This window comes from Homo sapiens, chromosome X (assembly GCF_000001405.40).
Source record: "Homo sapiens chromosome X, GRCh38.p14 Primary Assembly".
Taxonomy (NCBI): domain Eukaryota; kingdom Metazoa; phylum Chordata; class Mammalia; order Primates; family Hominidae; genus Homo; species Homo sapiens.
In genome coordinates, this window is record NC_000023.11 from 108,605,128 (window position 1) to 108,631,707 (window position 26,580).

Below are 26,580 nucleotides of genomic sequence, written 5' to 3' on the forward strand. Positions count from 1 at the left end.
CCTTCACATTCACAACTTGGCTAACTGTTTAGTGCAAGAGACCTAGCCTTCAACCTACCTTAGCTTTTGACATGCCTTCCTCACTAAGTTTAATTATTTCCAGCTTTTGATTTTAAGTGAGAGACATGTGACTCTTTCTTTCACTTGAACACTTAGAGGCCATTGTTGTGTTATTAATTGGCCTAATTTCAATATTGTTATGTCTCAAGGAATAGAAAGACCTGTGGAGAGGGAGAGAGATGCGGGGAAAATGGCTGATCAGTGGAGCAGTCAGACATTTACAACATTTTTTTATTAAGTTCACCATCTTATACAGGCACAGTTTATGGTACCCCAAAACAATTATGTGGTAACATCAGTGATCACATATCACCATAACAGATATAATAATAATTAAAAAGTTTGGAATATTGTGACAATTACCAAAATGTGACACAGAGACAAAAAGTGAGCACATGCTATAGGAAAAATTGCGCTGATAGACCTGCTCAATGTAGGGTTGCCACATACCTTCAATTTGTAAAAAGTGCAGTGTCTGCACAGCACAACAAAATGATGCACAATAAAATAAGGTATGCCTGTACGATGGTCTGCTCCCTCTGTGCATCTCTATAGAGTCATCATCCCATGTCATCTCTGTTCATGCCTGTGTGATGATTGGTTGAAATGGTGTTGAATATCATTTCCAGACCTTGTATACTGTTGTTCTCTGTCCCAATTCCATTACAGATACATAATGCAAATCACTGCAATTGACTTAGTAATACTAATAATAAATAATACTGTGTTTGAGTTACTTTTCATTCCTTTTATTATTTCTTATCTAATGTTAAGCTTTCCTGAGTCAACCTTCAGCAAAGAGCTGCTGTGGCATGTAATTATCGTGACTATTTTTATATATTTTATCTCTGCGTCATTGATTTAAACCTCCTGTGTTTTGTAATTATTACTTATTTTTCATGGGAAAAACAGTTAACCCGTGACACCAGTTCTCATGAGAAAACCACTTCTCTATTGGTTGATTCTCTTTATTATGAACATTTTCAAATGAAAATAAAAGTAAAATGAATAATACAATGAGCTTTCACATATCCATCACCCAGATTCAAAATTATTATGATTTTATAACATTTGCTTCATCTAGTCCTTTTTACTTTGCTTAAATATTTTACCCAAATCTCAACACAGTATCATTTCACTTATAAATGCATCAGCACTCATCTCTAAATAAATTGACATTTTATACAAAAACCACAATGTTGTTATCATACTTAGTAAAATTAAAAATAATTGTTTAGTATTATCTAATACTCAGCCTATAATCATATTTCCCTACAAGGGTAGTCTGTTCTTTAATCTCATGCTCTCTCAGTTTTTTTTTTTTATCCTGAAACCAGTCCAAATCATCTAATTTGTTTTACTAAACCCTGTTTCCAATCCTTCCATATGTTTTCTCCAACATACCAATTACTTTTTATTTAATTATCTTCTCCTCTCCCCCCATGGAAGGAAAAGTATTGTCTTGTATTTTCGGCATTAAATTCTCTGTGGCAAACAATAAGGACAGAAAAGTCATGGGAGTTTTTGTTGTGTTTTGTCATGTGTATGCTCAAGGGTGAACCAGGATTTGCATTACCTGGGCCACCTGGGCCACCAGGACTTCCAGGTTTCAAAGGAGCACTTGGTCCAAAAGGTGATCGTGGTTTCCCAGGACCTCCGGGTCCTCCAGGACGCACTGGCTTAGATGGGCTCCCTGGACCAAAAGGTATGGAGGCTGTCACTGCATCTCAACTTGCTTTTAACTTTTATAGAAATTGACACCTTTGGGAAAGTTTATGGGTGATAAGCCCAATTAACTGGAAACCCTATGCTGCCATTCTGTTACTGCTACACATTTTTTTCAATCCTTCATTGATTATTTTTGTCTTTTATTTCATTGAATAGATAATAAAATCATGGCCCGGCACGGTGGCTCACTCCTGTAATCCCAGCACTTTGGGAGGCCAAGGTGGGCGGATCACCTGAGGTCTGGAATTCAAGACCATCCTGGCCAACATGGCGAAACCCCGTCTCTACCAAAAATAGAAAAATTAGCCGGGCATGGTGGCACATGTTTGTAATCCCAGCTACTTGGGAGGCTGAGGCAGGAGAATCACTTGAACTTGGGAGGTGAAGGTTGCAGTAAGCCACTCCAGCCTGGGTGACAGAGTGAGACTTTGTCTCAAAAAAAAAAAAAAAAACAATCATATATGTTATAAAAGTAACACTGAGAAGTCTTCCTTCCAACCCATCTTCATCCACTTTGTTCCTCTCCATCCTCCTGCTTAACTATTTTTTATTCTCCTTTCTTCCCCCCACCCTCCCCCCATACCCCAAGACAGAGTCTTGCTCTGTCTCCCAGGCTGGAGTGCAATGGCGTGATCTTGGCTCACTGCAACCTCCACCTCCCAGGTTCAAGCAACTCTCCTGCCTCAGCCTCCTCAGTAGCTAGGATTACAGATGCATGCCACCAGGCCCAGCTAATTTTTGTATTTTTAGTAGAGACAGGGTTTCACCATGTTGGCCAGGCTGGTCTCGAACTCCTAACTTCGTGATCCGCCCGCCTCGGCCTCTCAAAGTGTTGGGATCCTTCTGGTGTTTCTTATATAAATACCAGCCAAGAATTTGTTTTATTTTCTCTGTTCTTAAAGGAGAAGGTATTTTCTTTTGACTTTATTTGCACTTTATTTTTTTACTGAAATTTGTATCCTGAAGATCACTCCATATCAGTAGATGGAGATCTTAACTTTTTGAAAATAGGTGCCTAGTGTTAAATTGCGTGGATATACCATAGTTCATCCCAGTTGCTAGTTGCTAGATTGGATTTTTGCCAATCATTTATTACAAATAATGCCATAGTGAATAATCTTTCATGCATATTATTTCAGATGTGTTCAGGTATAATAGTAAAATAAAGTGATGAAAAAGGATTTTCTGAATTAAAGGGTAAATGCATCTCTGGATATTGTCAGATTCCTCTCAATTTGCACCATTTACACTCCACCCACAATGTATGAGTGTGTTTCCCCACAGCCTTGATAAGTGAGTATGCTGACAAACTCTTGGATTTTTGCTAACCTGATGAAGTAAGTAGGTTTCTAAGTATATTTTTAAACATTTTATTGTTAAAAAATTTTAAGTACTGTGAAAAATAATAGTACAGTTAACAGCTGTATATCTACCACCCAGATTCTACAATGAACCTTTTATCTCCCTGCCAACGTTTTGTTTTTTAAAATTTTAAATATAACAAAGTAGACAGAACTTTATTGGGACTACTATATACCCATCACTGATATTTTACTGTCAACATTTTACTATATGTTGACAAATACTATATACTATTTGTCACATATCTATCCATCCCTGTCTCCATCCATTCATCTATTTTTGATGCATATCAAAATAAATTACAACAACAATATACTTCTCTCTAAATACTTCAGCATGCATACCATAACTAAAATTCCATAGCTGTATATTACTTTTCTTCTGATATGTAATTCACATTAAATGAGATACATAAATCTTAAGGGTACATTTACTGGATTTTGACAAATGCATACACTTGTATAACACAAAATCTTTATCAAGATATTGTTTTAGAAATTTTCCTTATGCCCCTTTCCAGTCAGTCCCTATCCCATCATCCACAGTGGCAACTATACTGTTGATTTTTTCATCATAAGTTATTTCGCCTGTTAACTCCTTATAAATGGAACTCCTTATAAATGGAAACATACGGTATGTACTTTCTTTCTGAGGCTTCTTTCACTCAACATAATGTTTTGGAGATCCATCCATGTTGTTGTGTTTATCAATAGTTCTTTTCTTTCAGTGAAATCATTGAGTATTTTATTATGTGACTGTATCATGGATACCTGGGTTGTGTCAAGTTTTTGGCTACTATGAGTGAAGCTGTTAAAGACATTTTTTACAATTCTTTTTTATGGATATGTGATTTCATTTTGCTTCAGTAAACAACTAAGAGCAGATTTGTTGGATCATAAGTGGATGCTTAGTTGTACTAGAAACTACTAGACCTTTTTCCAAAATGGTGATACCATTTTAAATTTACACCAAAGTGGTTCAGAAATTTGCATTGTTCCACATTTTCTCAAAGTTTGGAATGTTGGTAGGTGTGTGGTAGCATCATATTGTGATTTTAATTTACGTTTCCCTGATGACTAATGATGTTGAGTTCTTTTTTATGTACTTGTGAGCTACTTACATATTCAAATATTTTGTCTATTTTGAAAGATGGTTTGTTTCTCACTTTATTATTAAGTTGGAAGTGTTATTTCTATGTCCTGCATACTGGCCCTTTCCTAGATATATGTTTATTAGCATTTTAGCCCTGGCTGGCTGACCTGTTCATTTCCTTACTGTATTTTGATGGATAAAAGTTTTAATTTTATTGAAGTTTCATTTATCAATTTTTTCTTATATGATTATAATTTTCTGTGTCTTGTCTAAGAAACATTTGCCTGCCCCAAAGTTGCCAAGGTATTCTATGTTTTATTTTATAAGCTTTATAGTTTTAGTTTCTATGTTTAAAACTATTACACATGTCAAATAATTTTTGTTCAGCATCATTTGTTTAAAATAATCCCCTCTCTATTGGATTACTTTGGGATCTGTGTCAGATCAAATAATAATATATGTGTTGATCTACTTCTGTGCTGTCAATCCTGTTTTATTTATTTATTTTGCTGTCATTAAGCCAGTACCACACTGTTTATATTACTGTAGCTTTATAGTAAGACTCGAAGTCAGGTAATGTAACCCACCAACTTTATTCTTAAAAAAAAAAAAAACACATTTCTTTGGCTATATTAGGTCCTTTGCCTTTACTCTCAGAGTGGTTTAAATTGTATGTCTCTTACTGTGAGTGAGATTGGCCATCCTTTTATGTGTTAAGGGCCATATTTTTTTTTCTTGTTAACTGCCAATATCCTTTACCCACTTCTCTGTTGTTTCTTCTACTCCCTTGATTTTGAGTTATCTAATAATGAGAAGGAATAGAATTAGTAAAGCTGACTTGCATTTTTTTTCCTTTGATTTGGAAGGAACCCGACTTCCCTCGTCAATGTTTTGGCTCCTAGTGAGTAATCTGAACAGGGCCATGCTTCTGGAACATGTTGGATTGATTTCTATTAAAGCAGTAAGACAGCCCAATCCAATTTTAACCAGGCTAGATTGTATTCTGCCAGCAAAAGCCCCAGACTAGCTCAATACAAACTCTTCTTAGATAAGCTCTTAAAAAAATACCTTTCTGTTTTTGACTAAACAATTCAGGCCAGCTGTAAACTGTAACACTCAAAGTTACAAGTTGTGTTTCCCACCAGTTATCTCCCCTAGCTGTAGACCTGTAGCAACAAAAATTGCAGATAAAGATATTTGAAATATGTGGCAAACAGTCTTCCTGTGGAAGTTACCCACTTACTGTATTTTGTTTGTATATATTCTTGAGACACAGTGGTAGTGAAGAAATGCATTGAAGGCTATTTAAACATGAATTTAACAGGTATTTGCCTAATCTTTGGAAGGAAATTAGGATATGGCATTCCCATATCCTCACAGGAGTAATTCTCAATTATTAAAAGCCGAGTACAGTTCTTTAGGTGCTAGAAAAATAAGTGTTTGGGATATTCTGCCATGTAACTCCTTCATTCTTCAAACATTTATTATGTTCTATGCCAGCTAGTACCTGAATCAGTAGAAGCTCAAATGCATAGTTTCTGATCTTGAAGATCTCAAGGATTGCTCTCTACTGTGAGAAAATCTAGGTAGCATCACCATGAAAGTGATTATCTCAATGGGAACTTCTATGAAAATGTATCACTAATATTTTGGATCAGTAGACTACACTCAAAACTCAGCAAGCAGATCACAATAAAAGTTCACCTACCAAACACACACAACACACCAATGAATGGGTATTAGAACTCAGTTACTAAACTGTAGGAAAGGTTGATGCAACACTTTCAAAACAATGTAGTGACCAATAATAAATTAATAAGGCTAATACTCATCATGATATATCTATATGAGGAAGAAAATGTGCTTAAGGTTGAACGTTAGAATCAGATTATACAAAAGAGAAAAAAAGATGATTTTGGAAGCATTCAGTTTACCTCATATATTACTTTTGTTCAGGGCCTTATCTAAGGTACCTGGAGAGGTTTTATATAGATGGTGACAGTTGAATTTAGACTTAAGGGAAAGGTGTTCCGGGCAGCAAGAATAACATCCAAAGGTATTATTGTGACAAATATTGTGTGCTTGGAAATGTTGAAAGAAATACAAAAGTATATAATTTATGCTAACAACAAATCTATATCAAACAAATATGACAAACAACTGCATGCCCATACATTTGACAACTTAGATTAAATGGACTAATTTCTTGAAAGACATAAATTGTTGAAGCTCACTAAAGAAGAAATAGGCAATCCAGGAATCTATTTTTTTAAAAATTGAGTTGTAGTTAGAAACCCACCAACAAAGAAAACTACAAATCCAGATGGCATCACTGGTAAATTCTAACAAACATTTAAAGAAGCAGTAACACCAATTCTACACAATCTCTTCCCAAAAACAGAAGTAGAGGGATCACTTTCCAACCATTACATGAGGCCAGCATTATTTTGATATCAAAGCCAAGCAAAGACATATGAGAAAAGAAAGCTGTAGACCAATATCTCTCATGAACATAGACATAAAAATCCTCAAGAAAATATTGGCAAGTCAAATCTAGCAATATATGAAAAGGATAATACACTACAATCAAGTGAGGCTTATCCTTAGAATACGGGCTGGTTTGACATTTTAAAATCAATGTAATTTGCCATATCAACAGAGTAAAGAAGAAAAACTGTATTATAATCTCAGTAAATCCTGAAAATTATTTGATAAGTTTCAATATTCATTCCTGGAAAAATAGTCTCAGAAAATTAGGAATAAAAGGGAACTTCCTTAGCATGATAAAGACATTTACAAAATCTTGATCCATTATGTTTAGTGGTGAAAGACTGAATACTTTTCCCCAAAGTTATGTAACACAAAGATGTTATTTGTTACCATATTTGATGGTATGAAAAGGTTCAATATTGTATTGGAAGTCCTAGCCAATGTTATAAGACAAGCAAAATAAATGAAGGGCATACAGATTGGAAAGGAAGAAATAAAACTCCCTATATTCATAGATGACATGGTTTTATACTTAGAAAACCCTAATAAATCTACAAAAATTTACTAGAACTAAAAGGTGAATTTCGTAGGATCATAGGACAAAGCAAATATCTAAAAATAAATTATGTTTTTATATACTATCAATGAACAACTAGAAATAAAAATTAAACAAAAACAGTATAATTTACAATAGCATCAAATGACATGAAGTGCTTAGGTATGCATAGGTCCAACAAAAATGTGCAGGCTTTGTATGTGGAAAATTACAAAACACTGTTGACAGAAATCAGATACCTAAATAAATGGAATGGTATATTGTGTTCATGGATATTGTTAAGATATCAGTTTTCTCCAAATCAATCCATAGATTGAAAATATTCTCAAGGAGAACACACAATTTTTCTTCTAAAATTTATATGGAAAAACAAATGGCCTAGAATAGCCAAAACAATTTTGAGAAAGAAGTACAAAGTTGGACAATTCATAGTACTTGATGTTAAGACTTAAAATAAAGCTACAATAGTTAAAATAGTGTGGTATGTGTGAAATACAGACTAATAGATCATTGTAACATAATAGAGAGTCTAGAAATACACCCACATATTTAATTTTTGACAAAGTTGCTAAGGCAATCTCAACAGAAAGGTAAGTCTTTTCAACAAATGTTGCTAAAATATAAAGCAATTGGACATCCATATGCAAAAAAAAATATAAACAAACCAACATAACAAACCTCTACCTGCACTTCCTACCTTGCACAAAATTTAACTCCCAATGGATCACAGACCTAAATGTAAAACCTAACATTATCAAACTTCTGGAACAGAAGCAGGCAAACTTTTTCTGCAAAGAGCTAGAGAGTAAATATTTTAGTCTTTATGGGCTACATATATGGTCTCTGTCACATATTCTTTTTTAAACAACCCTCTAAAAATGTAAAAACCATTCTTAGCATGTAGGCAGCACAAAAAGAGGCCTATAGGCCATATTTAGCCATGGGAAGTACTTTGTCATCCCTTGTTTTAGATGAAGAAGCATAAGAGAAAACTCTGTGATCAGATGTTAGGCAAAAACTTGTTAGAATACCAAAAAGACAATTCATAAAAGAAAAATTGGATATATTGGACTTTATTAAAATTAACTGTATTTTCATATCATATATCTGACAAAGGACTTATAAGCAGAATATATAATGAACTCTCAAAACTCAATAAGAAAACAAACAACCAACTTTTAAAATATAGTTGGAAAAATGAGCAAACAATTTGAGTAGATACCTTACCAAAGAAGACACCCAAATGTCTAATAAGCACATGTAAAGATGCTCAGTATAATTTATCATCTGGGAAATGCAAGTTAAAACCACAATGGGATACCACTTCATAAATATTAGAATTGGCCTTTTTTCAAAAAGGATAACTGACAATAAGTGCTGCTAAGGATGCAGAGTAACTCGAACTCTCATACATTGCTAGTTAATACACAGAATGGTGCAGCCACTTTGAAAAACAGTTTGACAATTTCTTATATAGTTAAACATTGTCTTTGCACATGACACAGCAATTCTACTCCCAAGAAAAATGTGAAGCTTCACATAGAAACCCGTAGAACAGTGTTCATAGCAGCTTAATTCATAATCACCAATAATTGTAAACACCCCAAATGTGCCTCAAATTGCAAAAAGATTAACAAAATGTACATATTCATCTGATAGACTAATAACCAGCAGTAAAAAGTAACTACTGATACACATAACAACATGGGTGAATCTCAAATGCATTGTATTAAGTGAAAGAAGACATATTCAAAAGGCTACATACTATATGATTGCATTTGTATGACATTCTGGGAAAGAAAAATCTGTAAGACATAAAATAAATCAGTGGTTGCCAGGTAATTGGGATGTGGGGACGAGTTGACTACAGCGCACAGGGGCTTTTTTGGGTTTATGAAAATGTTCTATGTCTTGATTTTAGTGGTGGTTATATGACTACATACCTTTGTCAAAACTCATCAAAGTGTACACTAAAAAGACAGAATTTTAGTACATGTAAAAATTGTTTAAAGTGGGAGTGACAGAGGGACAGACAGAAGATGGAGAGATGGACAGTTAAGTTTCTAATGTCAAAGAGATGTTTTACTAATGAAGGGAGAAGCTTGAACATGTTTATAAGCCATGGCCCTGAGTTAGTAAAAAGGAAAATGTTGAAGTTATCTATCTTAAAATATAGGTAACTTGAAAATATATTTTAAACTTATGAATATATAACTGTCCACAATGAGTTACAAGTAGAAGGAATATGTGGTTTGTAATCTTTTGTACTTTCTTGTGAAGTTGATTTAAGTATTGAAGTAGTGATCAGCATATGTTAAATTATAAGGCTGTAACTATTAATAGATTCCCTATCCTTTGCTCTTGATACTTATGTGTACTTTTCTTGCTGAATGAATGCCCAGTTTTTCAAGATTCTTGCTTAATATGATATGGTTCCCAAGGACTAGTGACTCAGGTGTTGCTTTTAATATTTAAACTGTATTTATTTCTTAAAGGTGATGTTGGACCAAATGGACAACCTGGACCAATGGGACCTCCTGGGCTGCCAGGAATAGGTGTTCAGGGACCACCAGGACCACCAGGGATTCCTGGGCCAATAGGTCAACCTGGTAAGATTAGAGTAAATGTGCATTTTGTAGCACTCATAATATATACATTTGTTAGCTCATCAATAAAGTGAAACCTACAAAACAGTCTTCCAGAAGCAGACTTAAAAGGCAATCTATCTATGTGTATGATTTTATAAAAGTGGATAAGTACAAGCCACAGCATAAAAGCTACTTTAATCCCTGATATTTCCCTTCTGAGTTCATCTAAAATTGATGTATTTCCAATAATACAATTGCAGTGTATTATTGATATGTAATTGTTGAGTTAGACATGGTTTTGGAAGCAGAGGCCTAGAAACTTCTAGTGCTGATCATTTCAGATCTGAGTAGCGGTACAGCATTCATAGACCTTTGTGGAACCTCCTAACATTTCTTAGCACATGACAACTAGAATTAGGGTTCAGCAAAACTTTCTGTAAAAGTGTATTTTAGGCATTCCCATTTTCTTTTTTTTTCAGTGAGTTATTTTCCCTTTTTGCCCCTAAAATAGCAGTCATTTTGCAATTCATCAGCACTCCAAATCTTTACTTTTAATATTTTATATTGGATACTCAAAAAGGTCTTTTGTCAACACGTAACCTAATGGGTTTGCCTCTATAGATAGGAAATCATATGGTTCCTCTAAATTTGTGTGAAAGCATATTGAGTTTCTGGATTCTGAGCTGTCTGGTGATGTGAATTCTCGTTATGTTAATCTAGGTAAGTACAGTAAAGGCCACCTTGGGGCCATCATTATGTTATTGCAAAATACCATAATAATTTATGAAATTAAAACAAATATGAAATATTTAATTGTTCCTTAATTCACATGAATACATCTGAAGGCTTAAACACAGAGTTCAGATGTGCATACATTTATCTGAAGCAATGGCTATATGTTTCCTGACCTTAAATGGCAGTAGATATTTTGTTATTATTCTAAAAATTTAGAAACTCAGGTTAACAATATAAAAAGCTTGTAAATGTTATTTTCATTATGTACTATTTACAATTGATTATATGGCACATTATACCTTTTTATGGTCCCTGACATGTCACTACTGATTTAAAACTAAGAAAACTTAGAGTGTTGCTTTGAACCAGGTTGTTACAAAATAGCTGCTTTATCACTTATGGAAAAAACATTCTGTCCAACTAACAAAGCAGAGGGATCTTCAGGAAAAAGCACTTATTTTTAGGTTTGACCTGCTGTTTTTTTTTTGTTGTTGTTGTTGTTTTTGTTTTGTTTTGTTTTGAGACAGAGTTTCACTCTTGTTGCCCAGGCTGGAGTGCAATGCTGCAGTCTCAGCTCACTGCAACCTCCTGGGCTCAAACGATTCTCCTGCCTCAGCCTCCGGAGTAGCCAGGATTACATGCATGCACCACCACGCCCGGCTAATTTTTGTATTTTTAGTAGAGACAGGGTTTCACCATGTTGACCAGGCTGGTCTCGAACTCCTGACCTCAGGTGATTCGCCCGCCTCGGCCTCCCAGAGTGCTGGGATTACAAGAGTGAGCCACTGCGCCCGGCCCCTGCTGTTTTACAGAGGTGGATAAAATGAACTTATCACTCCTATGGTGTTTTGTCATTTGTTTCAGTTCCAAAAAGTGCATGAGTCTTTAGAAGCATTTTGAATTCTTAAGTCACAGCTGAGTGCGAATAAAAAAAGGAACACCATTAATATGAATCTAAACAAAATACAAATATGTTAACACGTGTCACGCTTTTTCAGATTTACCTGATACCTTGTAATGTTTTATTAATCTAATGTTCTCTCTTTCTTTCTCCCTCTGTTATATGATATATCTGACAAAGGACTTATAACCAGATATAAATATAATATATAGATAAATATATAGATATAAATATAATATAGATATAGAGATATTGATTTATAAAGTATAAATAGGATGGGCAGGAAGAAAAGTAATAATGCTGAATTAAACTTCATCTATTTCTTTTGTAAATATATGTATAGCCATAGAATTCAAGATATTAATATGATTCAACAAATAAATGAAATTAACAGGAACTAGCATGAAAATTTATTGAATTCACTCTTAATATAGAAATGTTCTCAAATCACAGTACTTTTCATTTTACTATGAGATGGACCACATTTCATATTTATACAAGGCACAGATACTCACTTTCTAAGTAAATTTTACTTACATCACCAAAATAGAATATTATCTTAGTTCATTTAAAAAACATCCTGATTTATGTCCATAAATCTCAATAATAAGGTAATCGGAAAGATTCTTATATCTTGATAAACCTACTTATGTTGCATGGCTGAAACTCTATCAATGTTTTTGTAATAAGCTTATTTAATATACTTGTATTTCATTTTGCGATAGGAAAAATGCAAAATATTCTATACTGTTATCTCTCTACTGTAGAATGTTTACATTATGCTTTTTAGGCTTTCCTTTGAACTCCAGTTTTCTATTATTTAATTAAGCTTTTACTATTTACCTTTCTCTTTTCTAAACCAGGCTATACAGTTTAACACGGTTATAAGATAAGGTCCCATTGAATATCAGTTTCCCATTCCATAGCAGGGAAATAAAAGAAAAATTGCCAAAGGACTAGAAACAAAATATTTTTCATCTCATGACCTGCTAACCCAGGCAGAAATGGAGGTTGTTGATTCTTGTTATTTTCTTTGGCCATTACCTGTACAATTACTGTCTTACTGAATTTTTTTAGAGATCAGTTAAATATACTCTATTTCATGTTCACAGATCATATCATAACCAGAACCAAACGTGTTATAGTGTGTGTCCAGTCTTAGGACAAAGCATATGGCTAAATCAGCTAAAGAGGAAAAAAAAATTCATCACCACTAATGTGAATCAAAACAAACAAAACAACAACAGCAAAACCCTAGGAATTGTTTATGAATTATTCATGTCATTTTCATAGATGAAGGAGAAAATAGTTTTCTAACACTTCAGGAGGCTACAAAACCCTTGGGTAGGGGGAGGGTGTGTGTATGTGTGTGTATGGAAAGTTCTCACGAATAATACATGTTTTTGAAATTTTCCTTTTTTTATAAACTGGTTCCATTCGGCTGCCAATAAATTTAGAACATCAGTATATCCCTATATCACATCTGTAGACATATCCATACAATTCTTGTTATTGTGGGGAAATTTAGCGGAACTTTGGGATTTATATTGACTTCTTCATCCTGGATCTTACCAGGATGTGTATTCCTGACAGTATTCATGGAAAAAATCTATGCTATGGGAGGAAGTATAGTATAATGTCTGTTATTACTACTACTAATAATAACGATGAAGAAAGAAATCCTTGCCTAGTGCATGCAAGTTGTTTCTCCATAATCATATGCTAATAATGATTGATTTATCTATACCCAACCTGTTGTAGTATAAAATTAAATTAATTTTTAAATTTGAACTAAACTTTAGGAGCTTAAATTCCAAAAAGATTATTTAAATCATTAAGTCAGAGATAAACAATTGAAAAGCTGACCTTTACCAAAAGGTAATACTTTTGTGAATGTAAATATTTTATTATGTCATTATTGGCAAATACATTTCATTTATAGAATAAGCTATATGAACATCTAAGCAAATGCCTAAAATAAGTTTTTTCACTCATTTCTAATATATGATAGCAGTGAATCGAGGTCTAATAACTTCTATTTGTAGAGTTTTATGTTCTAATTTTTAAATGCTTAGTTTTTTTTTCCCTAACCTAATGAAACTTTTTGCAACTTACTTCTGCTTGGGTGGCCCAACTTGCTGCTGAACTGTAATTCCCTGCCTCTTGAACATCAGGTGTACCAGGTACTGTAGTTCTTCCTCAAAAGCCATATCTTAAAGTAAAGCTTTAAACATGGAAAACAAACATTTCTCCAGATTTAAGTCTTTGGTTTATTTCCCTTATTTTATAGAACTGCTCTCTTGGAGCACGTTTCAAAAGATAAATTATTTATATTGAAAACCCAACTATTAAAAATCTTTGTGAGCTATAATATAACAATAGATAGTGATCCATATAAAGCTATAATCATGTTCACTGTTAGGCATCATATCATCTTTCACAAATATGATATAAAAATCTCTCTCTCCTTTTTATAGTCTTTTACTGTAAAATGGCAGCATTGGAACTATCGCTACTTTGCCAACTGAGTGTAATTCTCTAATCTTCAAAGTGGATTTTGTCAGTTTAGGGCCATGCTGAAATATGACATAAAACAGATCTTAAAACCCTAGCATCTTACTCTCTACAAAAATAATCACCACTGAGTCTTCAACAATAAATTTAGATCTTATTGTTGAAAGGAGACTTGGAATGATCATCTGGCTCAACCCCTAGTTTCCAATTGGTTATGGCATAATCCCCATTTAGCAGATGAGGATCAACATTAAGTGACTCACGTAAGTCGCACAGCTGGTAGGCTTTGGAGTGGGAAGTTACATAGTATTTTTAGTGTAATTCTTTTCCCATAAACATACTCTTTTTTAACCACCTTGCTTTTGGGGGAAAATCAGCCTTACAGAAACTTACTAAGGTTAAATATTTTTTGCTGTGTCATTTTTTTTCTGTAAAATCTTGGTTGGAGAAACAAAAGATGACAAAAAATACTAATAGTAACATATTATTAATGTATTATTAAAACAATGTGCAAAACAAAGGTAAAATACAATTTAAGAAGTCCACTTAAGTGACTTATTCAGTAATCAATAATTTTGGGAGCTCATAGAGATGTGTACTAATAATTTATAATACATTAGAACAATGCAAATGTAAGTGTGTTCAATAGACCAGTGTCAAATAATCTATCAGTCTGCAATAGGATTAATACAAATGTTGAGAATAAGCATTTAGAAACTTTTATAGCAATTTGATAGTGTAATTGTATCTGTTGAATATAATAACCAAAAAGGTAGGCTTTTATTTTGCATCTTTGGCTTTTTATTCAGTTTTAGTAATTTTCATTGTATTTTATAAAAAATATTAGTCTGTGATTAACTAGGAATTAAGAAAAGATTGGCCTTTTGCCAGAAATAATTTGAGAAGCACTGTCTTAGAGCAATCTGCTTGAAAATCCTAAAGCTTGATTGTTCAGTTATTTTGTGTGCATGATGTCAAAAGTATCTCTAACTCACTCTTAGGTCTGTTATCTACAGGGTTCTATCACTTGTTTACTAGAAATATAACCAGATACATCTTTTAAAACTGCTTCAGTACTTATTAATATTGATATTGTATTAACTAGGTTTACATGGAATACCAGGAGAGAAGGGGGATCCAGGACCTCCTGGACTTGATGTTCCAGGACCCCCAGGTGAAAGAGGCAGTCCAGGGATCCCCGGAGCACCTGGTCCTATAGGACCTCCAGGATCACCAGGGCTTCCAGGAAAAGCAGGTGCCTCTGGATTTCCAGGTAATTTGTTTAAAGTTTTCTCTGATTTGGATTAAGGAAATTAAAACTAATACGACTCTGGTAGATAATTCCCATGTTACACTTTTCTAGATTGACGTGATCCCTTAAGGATGAGCATTAAATATCTATGACTGCAGGAAGCTCACTTTGCTATTTTCACTGCACATTTTTCTCTGTGAGAGTTCCAGTTATATATTACTGTATAACAAACAACCCCAAAACTTAATGATTTTAACCAACCTTTTAATTTTGCTGAAGATTTTGCAGCTCTAGAATTAAGGGATGACTTGACTGGTTCATTTATCTCTAACCCACGTTGCCCCAGCTGGAGTGTTTGGGACTGAAAGGTCTACTTCTAAGATGGCACTTCTCTGACATCTGGGTGTTCATTAGCTCACATGTCATCTCATCGTCCATGGTACCTCTTCGCATGGCTTAGGCTCCTCACATTATGGTAGTATAAGGCTGGTTGCTCCCCTTCCATGGCAGCTGGCTTCCAACAGAGAGAATCCCACAAGAGAAAAGTGAGTGTTTCAGGAACTACAGGTAGAAGCGGCAAGATTTCTTTTCTTTCGCTCTCTCTCTCCCTTTTTTTCTTTCTTTTTCCCTTTCTTTCTCTTTCTTTCTCTTTTCTTTCTTTCTTTTCTTTCTTTCTCTCTTCTCTCTTTCTTTCTTTCCTTTTCTTCTTTCTTTCTTTCCTCTCTTTCTTTCTCTCTCTCCTTCCTTCCTTCTTTTTTTTTTTTTGAGACAGGGTCTCACTCTGTCACCCAGACTGGAGTGCAGTGGGACATGATCACAGCCCACTGCAGCCTCAAACCCCTGGGCTCAAGCCATCTTCCTGCCTCAGCCTCCTCCCAAGTAGCTGGGACTACAAGCACATACCACCACACACAGCTATTTTTTTTTTCTTTTTTTCTTTGTAGTGATGGAGTCTCACTATGTTGCCCAGGCTGCTCTCAAATTCCTGTCCTCGAGCAATCCTCCCACCTCAACCTCCCAAAGTGCTAGGATTATAGGCATGAGCCACTGTGACTGGCCTGTAAGACTTCTTTTGATCTAGGCTTGGGAGTCACACAATGTCATTTAGTCAAGTGTGAGGTACAGAATCAACCCTAGTTCCAGGTGAGGGTTTTATAGTAGATTGTACATACTGGGACATATGGTTCACTGGGGGGCCATCTTTAGAGATTAGCTACCAGACTGAGTCTCCTTATTCATGGGTATCAGCAGTAGTGGGCACTATGGTCAAAAAGTCTAAAACTTAACAGTGCCTTACGTCCAACCCTCAATAGTTTTCTGGTTGACATCTTAAAACTTACTTTTTATGTTCCCTAAGTCAAAGAAAGGCAAACATTACTTATTGATATTCTTCAAAGGTACCAAAGGTGAAATGGGTATGATGGGACCTCCAGGCCCACCAGGACCTTTGGGAATTCCTGGCAGGAGTGGTGTACCTGGTCTTAAAGGTAATAATCAAGGTTTGCTGCCAGACGTATGTGAGAGGGAAAATTAAATATAGCTTTATGTCAGTACAGAATATTTTTGTTGACTGTTTTAAAATGAGCAATGGTTACTTGTGTTTCTATGTAACATGGCATTTAAATAGGTCTTGTTTTCAATTTGGTTACGTGCTTAGTTTGGATACCATGATACATGGTAAATGCTTAGCTCAAAATAACAAAATATAAGGATTAAGCATTAATTTTTTTGTTTGTCTTTTGAGACGGAGTCTCGCTCTGTTGCCCAGGCTGGAGTGCAATGGTGCGATCTCAGCTCACTCCAAATTCCATCTCCTGGGTTCACACTATTCTCCTGCCTCAGCCTCCCAAGTAGCTGGGAGTACAGGCGCCTGCCACCACGCCCGGCTAATATTTTTTTGTATTTTTAATAGAGAAGGATTTTCACCATGTTAGCAAGGATGGTCTCGATCTCCTGACCTCGTGATCTGCCCACCTCAGCCTCCCAAAGTGCTGGGATTACAGGCTTGAGCCACCGTGCCCGTCTGGATTAAGCATTAATTTTTTTATAGTCGGCCTCTATCGTTGTCAAGGAATTCCAGATGGAGGGATTGTTATCTGAGTATAAAAATGTGTATGCACTCAAGTAATTCATAGAGTACATCCAAGGTGCATAAATGTTTTGAGTGGCCAGTGGCCTACTCAACTATGAAACATATCAATAATCTTTATATGCATTAATCTTTGATGGATAAAATTGATATATTGTGTTTTCACACACATTGATTTTAGGTGATGATGGCTTGCAGGGTCAGCCAGGACTTCCTGGCCCTACAGGAGAAAAAGGTAGTAAAGGAGAGCCTGGCCTTCCAGGCCCTCCTGGACCAATGGATCCAAATCTTCTGGGCTCAAAAGGAGAGAAGGGGGAACCTGGCTTACCAGGTGAGTGAATGAATTTATTTATGAATATTTTTCCTGATATATCTGAAGTTTAATTTTTAAATAGCATGAAAAGTGACTTATAATACAGAATTCACCAACAAAGGCACTTAAATGCATCAAATTTTGGTAACAAATATTAATTTTCACTTCATTCATACTGTTTCACCAGTCAACTTTTGTTTGAGTATTTTCTTTATAGTTTACCTATCACGAGCTTTACCTAACCACTAGTGAGGTTTTAAAATAGACTTAGGCAGTCAACTACTAGCTTTCTAAAAAGTAATACAGGAAAAGGATATATAGCCACAATTACTTGAAAAACAAATTTCAGTGTTTAGGAAATTTGCTAGTCCTTTCATTTTTTTCTCCTTGATACCAGATAAGGACGAATGGTACATTGCTGTACTGCAGTGTTTTGATATCCATATCATACTTGGCTTTCAAATACAGTTCACCGTTATTCTACTTTGGCAGAATAAACAAGTATTGGACTATGAACAGCCAAGTTCAGCCCGAGGGGAAGTCACTGAAAGTAGATCTAGGGAACAATTGTGTCCATATAGTTATTTTATTAGAAACAAATACAGCGTAAAATATTACGTGGGGTTTTCAATAAAAAAAAAACCTTTTTTATAGAAGTATAACATGTTCATAACAAAACATCATAAAATATGGATAAGCATAAATCATTATATAAAGCACTTGGCACCCAATCTATATAGAATAGCCTTTCAAGCAATATGGAATGTTAAAACTAGCTATATCTGTGTATCTGCAGCTTATAGTAAAGTTTGTGGCTCTTTGTACGTTCTATCCATCAATATTGTCAGTTCATGTGTATGTGTATGTGTATGTGAGTGTACACAGATGTTAACAGTTTCCCTATGAGCAGGATTTGGTGGGATTTTTCCTCAAAAAAGAATTAAAAATATTAATGCAGTGTTGTATATAGTCAAGAAAGAGGCAGGGTCACCTAATTTTTTATGGAATGACTTTCTTGGCTTACCCCTTGCAAGGCTTCTTTTCTGTTTCAATTATGCTTCCTGTATAATAGGGGCAGTAAACTATACTTGACCTCTACTATAGGCTTATTAAATATAGTCAGAATCTAAGAGATAACCTAGAGATTATCTGTCCTTATTCCTTATTTCTTCATTTCCATTGTAAGAAAATGAGGCCCAAAATAGGAAAGTGATTTCACTACTGAGTGCTCTGAATTTCTTGATGGTAGGTAACTAAAAAGTGAAGGATTTTCGTGTGAGTCCAGTGCTAATAGCTCATACTATATCAGAATATCACCAGTTCCTCTAATTCACTTATAGTTTAACACTTGAGTAGCTTGCTTTGCCAAAGTTATTTCATGGATGAATAATATCATCCTAACTTGCCTCTTCTACTCATTCTTGGAAGGTATACCTGGAGTTTCAGGGCCAAAAGGTTATCAGGGTTTGCCTGGAGACCCAGGGCAACCTGGACTGAGTGGACAACCTGGATTACCAGGACCACCAGGTAAGTGTGATAGGCCATTTGTAGCAATTGCTTAGCTGACACTGAATTCTGGATAAATAATTATGTGTTTGTCATGTTTGAAGATGCTGTGGATTTGATCATGGTAATAAGCTTGGGTAGCTACTGAAATATGGAGCTCACTTTCGGCAAAAATATTGCCCTTTGGCTCTAGTTTTAGCAGTCCAGATTTTATAGGATATTTTGCCTTGATTATTCAGTTTCTTCTTTTTGTGGCAGCAGGGTATACACAGAATCAGAAATGTGATCCAAATAAGGTGTTGTGTTTTGTTACATACATTGCAAAATATATAAATGAGACAATTATCTCATGAAGGCCTGAAGAATTCATCTTGTCCTGCTTTTTTTTCTTTCTGCCTTTAGACAAGTCAGTCATTAAACCATGTAAAACAGATGGCTATTGATTCTATTTTTTTAAATTTCTAGGCATGAAAATTTCACAAATTCTCTTGGTAGTCAGTTACAGCATTAATCACTCTTAGAGTCGACATTTTTTTAAATCCTACTAAAACTCTTTCTTGTTTCTTCTTCAGCCACTTTCTTTTAGTTTGTTTCCTAAGGAAATAAAGAGCAGCAGTCCCCATTCTTACAAAGTCCCTTAAGTTCAGTTATTTGCGCTAGACTCCATACTACATGGCCTTGATATAGTTGGGAAGAGAAACTCCCTTCCTATCTCTCCCTCACATCTTCTGCATTCTCTTTTCCAAGTTAGAAGTCATTGTAAAGGAAAAAAATAAAATAAAAAAAGTTTAAGGCAATACTGTGGTCCTAGGAAAAAACCCAGATGACATCACAGAGCTCAAGCACCTATGTGCTAGGAAAAATGTACAAACAGAGCAGCCATGCCTGTTCAGGTCACTGCCCAGTATCTGTCCACCACCTCTAATCTCTCCCTGGCCTAATGTACTAAACTATATCATAACAGGTTACCACCTTTTCTCTTTCTGATCTCATATAATCACGCTCTACATGAGAAGCCCATCTCTGAATCTTTTAAAAAACAGACTTATTATATTGGATTTATCTGTGAAAATACATTAAGGGTAGTTGTACACATACAGCAAATAGCACTTCAGGTGATTGGAATTGTTTTAGGGAAAGAAACAAGGTGTTCTGGTAACTTTTTAATTTTTTTTTAAAGTTATATTAGGAGACCTCTATTACTATGGTTATATTGTAATATGTTCCCAAGGAGATGTTTTATGTTGGGTTCTATCTGTGGACCTTAATCATATATTCAGATTTAATCCATCTAATCCCATGTTTGCATTTTAATGACTATCCATTCCCATGAAACCAGACAACCCCAATATTGCTACATTGTCTTAATTTTACCAATTTGACCTTTCTAGGTCCCAAAGGTAACCCTGGTCTCCCTGGACAGCCAGGTCTTATAGGACCTCCTGGACTTAAAGGAACCATCGGTGATATGGGTTTTCCAGGTGAGTGATGAAAATCTTCCAAATATTTAGTCCCATTAATGAAAGGTGGTTCAATATCTCTTTTTTTGTCAGAAAAGAGGCTGGTGTTGATAGAATCAGACTGAAACGATATCTGAGGTAATCAGTGGGTAGTGTTCTCTTGTTACACAAATATTTAAAATGGGAATTAAGGGACAAAATTGTAGAAACCTTAAAAGTTATAATTCACAAACATCTTTTCTCCAGCTATACCCCCTTTTATTTAAACTTCCTTTAAAAGTAGGCTTTTATATAATTGTGTTTGTGAGGCTCATTATTATCTAACTCAGAGTTTGCGGAGCTTTTTAAAAATCTTTTTGCTTTGTCATATGCATCTTAGATAATCCACAAGTAAAGCATATTTTGTAAAATATTATATATCACATATTTTCAACAGGGCCTCAGGGTGTGGAAGGGCCTCCTGGACCTTCTGGAGTTCCTGGACAACCTGGCTCCCCAGGATTACCTGGACAGAAAGGCGACAAAGGTGATCCTGGTATTTCAAGCATTGGTCTTCCAGGTCTTCCTGGTCCAAAGGTAATCTTTGGCATATAGTTTTAGGCACATACTTGAGCAGATATGAAATTTTTTAATACTATGCTCATTCCTAAGTTTTCATTAAACAAACTATAGAATGACATAGTATATTCTGGATAAGAGATTTATTCCTTTTCTTTTCTCTTAGATGATAAGAAGATATGTTTTAGGGTTTGTGGCCAGTCCAAAATAAAAAGGGAAAACTTTCTGGTTTCTTTGTTTTTCTTCTATCTTAATTTCTGGATATACTTCAATAATCTCAATGCCTAGATTTTTCTGGTCTTGTTAGTCCATCCCTTTTTAGTGATGGAGTTGTTGGCCTTTGTCCTAATGTTATTATTAACTAATTTGAAAAGACTTATAAACAAAGTGACAGTTAATGCTAATGTAGTAGTATTCTTAACTGCGTGTCTGAGATAGTCCTCTGAATACAGTTTTACAATTCCCTCTACTTCTCTCTTCAATGTGAAAACTTTGGTGGTGTTTCTCAAGTAATCAAATTTAGAATTTGTTTCAGAATCATTGGACTCAACAGGAATTTATTTGACAATTGTTTAGTTCCATGTCAAAAAGTAGTAACTCCTTAATCATGTAGTCAGACCACAGACCTAAAAAGTATTAGAAAAGGAATTTTGGTACTCAGTTTTCATGGAAATAGTGAAAGTTCCCAGTGATATAAGAATTTATTGAATTGTATGTAAGGATAATTTTTCTTTTAATATTATATAAAAATACTTTATTTTGATCATCTAATTGATCAATGTCTTATAAAGAGATAATCAAGAGAAGTTTCTGTATGTTCATTCCAGTTTAACAATGTAAAGTTTCTTGAAGTGAATTTTAATTTTCTCTGTTATATTTATATTTTACCAGTGACATTGAATATATGATTTTATTAAAAAATAATATAGACATATTAAGGGTAAGAGTGAAAATCTTCTTCATGCCCCATCCTCTTTTTACCATTCCTTTCCTCATAGAGGCCCACTGTCAATAGTTGATATATAAATTTGAATTCCTTGTTCTATACATTTATATATATGCATATAGAGTTTGGGGTTTTTTCTACACATTGTGTATATGTAGAATCATGGTATGCATGCTACTCTGTACCTTGCTTTATCACTTACCCCTTTTTATTTCTTTTTTCAATATATCTTAGACAATTTTCTTTGTCGTCATACATTATATCTGTGGACATATATGTAGTTATTTATACTGTATAGTTTCATAAAAGTGTAATTGTTGGATCAAAGGATAAGTGCATTTAATTTTTTGGCTTTTTAAAACACTTATAATAATGTAACATATGAACTTGATTTTAAAATACAACCAGTATGAAAAGATGTAAAATAAAAAGTCTCCTTTTTACATGTTTGCAAACCCCAAATCCCCAGTTCTTCTTCTCCAGGGTAACCACTTTTAGTAGTTTCTCTCATATTCTTCAAGAAAGGTTTTCTAAATGCATTTATATGCATGCATATATGGTATTTCATCAATTTTAATACTCATTTTTTACATCCAAAATATCTAATATTGGAATGCATCTTATTATGATGGAAAGCATATTACAATTAAAATTGTAAATATTTTTCCCCAATTATTGATACATGAAATGATGCTGGACCTTCCAAATGTAGATGTTTTCTCATATTTTAATTAATATATACAAAATTATACTATACATCTGCTCTGTACCTAGCTGTCATCACATAGTAAATCTTGACAAACTTTCTTTATCAGCCTATAAATGTATGCCTTATTATTTTTTATAATTATATAGTATTTTTATGGGGGTTCACTATAAATAATTTAACCTATTATGAATATGAAAATTATTTCTAGGTTCATGATTACAAACATATTTTGCACTGAAGATTCTTATCCATATTCTTACATACATATCTTAAGAATCTTTGGTAAATATCACCATAGAATAAATTCTGAGCAGTTGCTAGAACCCAGCATATATGTGCCTTTTTAATATCTATATTTACTGCCAAATTTTCCAATTAAGTAACTCTACACCTTTATACTTTCATGATTAGTATAAGTGATTTTCTCCTCATTCTACAGATATTGGGTGTTATCAATTTAAAAAATTTTACCAATCTAATGGGTGAAAAGTAGTGTATCATTATTGTTTATATTTGAATTTTCCTGATTACAAGTGGGGTTTCAGATGTTTTTAACTCTTTCGTAAATTGTCTATTTATACTCTTTGCCTCACTGTTTTACGAGAGGACTTGGTTATGTATTTCATACTGATTTGTAAAAGTACATTATAAATGTGAAGATGCATCCACTGTCTGTTATATTTGTTGCAAATATTTTCTCCCAGTCAGTTGTTTGTCTTATAGCATGTTTACTGTGCATTTCGTTATGTAGATGTTTGAAATTTTTACATAGGCAAATTATGTACTCATTTATTTATTCATTCACAAAATATCTGTTGAGTATGTATGATTTACCAGGTACTGTTTTAGGTGCTGGAGATACAGCCTGAACAAAACAGACAAACTTTTACTGCCTTCAAGGAGCTTATATTTAGTCAAGGAGTCATACAATAAACAAAATAAATAAGTCTGTATTATGTTAGAATGTGATAAATCTCATGATGAAAAGTAAAGCAAGACTTGATGATAGGAATTTCTGGAAATTGTTATATTTTGAAATAGGTTACTAAGGGAAAGTCTCTCTGATAAGATAGAGCAGTGACCACACTGCAGTAAGAGAGTAAGTCATACAAAAACCCTGAGGTGTGAGCATACCTGACATGTTTGAGAAACATAAATGAGTCCAGTGTGTTAAACAGAATGAGTGAGTTGAAACAAAGTAGGAGATGAGATTAGATTGGTAATGGGGGAAAGATTATATAGTGCCTTATAGGTCATCATAGTAGGGGCTTTTACTCCTGAGTGAATCGGGGAGCAAATGGAAAGAGTTAACATGATTGTACATTAATTTTAAGAACTATCACAGCACCTGTTTTGGAAACAGATCATAGAGGAGCAAGGATGGAAAGCAGGGAAACCAGTTATGGTGATATTTAAATAATGCAGGCTAATGATGTTGATGGCTTGGATCAAGATAGTGGCAGGGGAAGTGATAAGAAATGGGCAGATTTTGAATATATAATATATGTCAAGCCAGGAAGATTTGTGTATGGAATATGAGAGAGAGGAATCAAGAATGACTCCAGTTTTTATCCTGAGCAAATAGAGTGGAGTTGCTATATGCTGAAATACAAAAACTTTGAAAAAAGCAGGTTTAGTGAGAAAGATCAGGAGCATAGTTTTTTATTTTATTTATTTATTTATTTGTTTTATTATACTTTAAGTTCCAGGGTACATGTGCACAACGTGCAGGTTTGTTACATATGTATACATGTGCCGTATTGGTTTGTTGCACCCATTAACTCATCATTTACATTAGGTATTTCTCCTAATGCTATCCCTCCCCCATTCCCCCACCCCATGACAGGGTGTGTGATGTCCCCCGCCCTGTGTCCAAGTGTTCTCATTGTTCAATTCCCACCTATGAGTGAGAACATGCGGTGTTCGGTTTTCTCTCCTTGCGATAGTTTCCTCAGAATGATGGTTTCCAGCTTCATCCATGTCCCTACAAAGGACATGAGCTCATCTTTTTTATGGCTGCATAGTATTCCATGGTGTATATGTGCCACATTTTCTCAATCCAGTGTATCATGGATGGACATTTGGGTTGGTTCCAAGTCTTTGCTACTGTGAATAGTGCCACAATAAATATACATGTGCATGTGTCTTTATAGCAGCATGATTTATAATCCTTTGGGTATATACCCAGTAATGGGATGGCTGGGTCTAATGGTATTTCTAGTTCTAGATCCTTGAGGAATCACCACACTGTCTTCCACAATGGTTGAACTAGTTTACACTCCCACCAACAGTGTAAAAGCATTCCTATTTATCCACATCCTCTCCAGCACCTGTTGTTTCCTGACTTCTTAATGATCACCATTCTAACTGGTGTGAGATGGTATCTCATTGTGGTTTTGATTTGCATTTCTCTGATGGCCAGTGATGATGAGCATTTTTTCATGTATGTGTTGGCTGCATAAATGTCTTTTGAGAAGTGTCTGTTCATATCCTTTGCCCACATTTTGATGGGGTTGTTTGATTTTTTCTTGTAAATTTGTTTAAGTTCTTTGTAGATTCTGGATATTAGCCCTTTGTCAGATGAGTAGATTGCAAAAATTTTCTCCCATTCTGTGGGTTGCCTGTTCACTCTGATGGTAGTTTCTTTTGCTGTGCAGAAGCTCTTTAGTTTAATTAGATCCCATTTGTCTATTTTGGCTTTTGTTGCCATTGCTTTTGGTGTTTTAGTCATGAAGCCCTTGCCCATGCCTATGTCCTGAATGGTATTGCCTAAGTTTTCTTCTAGGGTTTTTATGGTTTTATGTTCAACATTTAAGTCTTAATCCATCTTGAATTAATTTTTGTATAAGGTGTGAGGAAGGGATCCAGTTTCAGCTTTCTACTTATGACTAGCCAGTTCTCCCAGCATCATTTATTAAATAGGAAATACTTTCTCCATTTCTTGTTTTGGTCAGGTTTGTCAAAGATCAGATGGTTGTAGATGTGTGGTGTTATCTCTGAGGCCTCTGTTCTGTTCCATTGGTCTACATCTCTGTTTTGGTACGAGTACCATGCTGTTTTGGTTACTGTAGCCTTGTAGTAGAGTTTGAAGTCAGGTAGCATGATGCCTCCAGCTTTGTTCTTTTGGCTTAGGATTATCTTGACAATGTGGGCTCTTTTTTGGTTCCATGTGAACTTTAAAATAGTTTTTTCCAATTCTGTGAAGAAAGTCATTGGTAGCTTGATGGGGATGGCATTGAATCTATAAATTACCTTGGGCAGAATGGCCATTTTCACGATATTGATTCTTCCTATCCATGAGCATGGAATGTTCTTCTATTTGTTTGTGTCCTCTTTCATTTCGTTGAGCAGTGGTTTGTAGTTCTCCTTGAAGAAGTCCTTCACATCCCTTATAAGTTGTATTCCTAGGTATTTTATTCTTTTTGAAGCAATTGTGAATGGGAGTTCACTCATTATTTGGCTCTCTGCTTGTCTGTTATTGGTGTATAAGAATGCTTATGATACATCTCTAGAACTCTTCACCCCAATCAACAGAATATACATTCCTCTCAGCACCACATTGCACTTATTCCAAAATTGAACACATAGTTGGAAGTAAAGCACTCCTCAGCAAATGTAAAAGAACAGAAATCATAACAAACTGTCTCTCACACCACAGTGCAATCAAATTAGAATTTAGGATTAAGAAACTCACTCAAAACCGCATGACTACATGGAAACT

The 26,580-nt window shown here is 34.7% G+C and overlaps 1 protein-coding gene across 9 annotated transcripts in view; it reads left to right on the forward strand.

Moving 5' to 3' along the window:
- Positions 1–26,580, forward strand: part of COL4A5 (collagen type IV alpha 5 chain) — a 257,708-nt gene that overhangs the window by 165,290 nt on the left and 65,838 nt on the right. For all 9 annotated transcript variants that reach the window (XM_047441810.1, NM_033380.3, NM_000495.5 and 6 more), the window contains 8 exons: positions 1,615–1,765; positions 9,784–9,897; positions 15,132–15,299; positions 16,676–16,765; positions 17,549–17,698; positions 19,109–19,207; positions 20,578–20,667; positions 21,083–21,222. In XM_047441810.1, the coding sequence (XP_047297766.1) occupies positions 1,615–1,765; positions 9,784–9,897; positions 15,132–15,299; positions 16,676–16,765; positions 17,549–17,698; positions 19,109–19,207; positions 20,578–20,667; positions 21,083–21,222 (1,002 nt within the window). The remainder of the gene's footprint in view (positions 1–1,614; positions 1,766–9,783; positions 9,898–15,131; positions 15,300–16,675; positions 16,766–17,548; positions 17,699–19,108; positions 19,208–20,577; positions 20,668–21,082; positions 21,223–26,580) is intronic.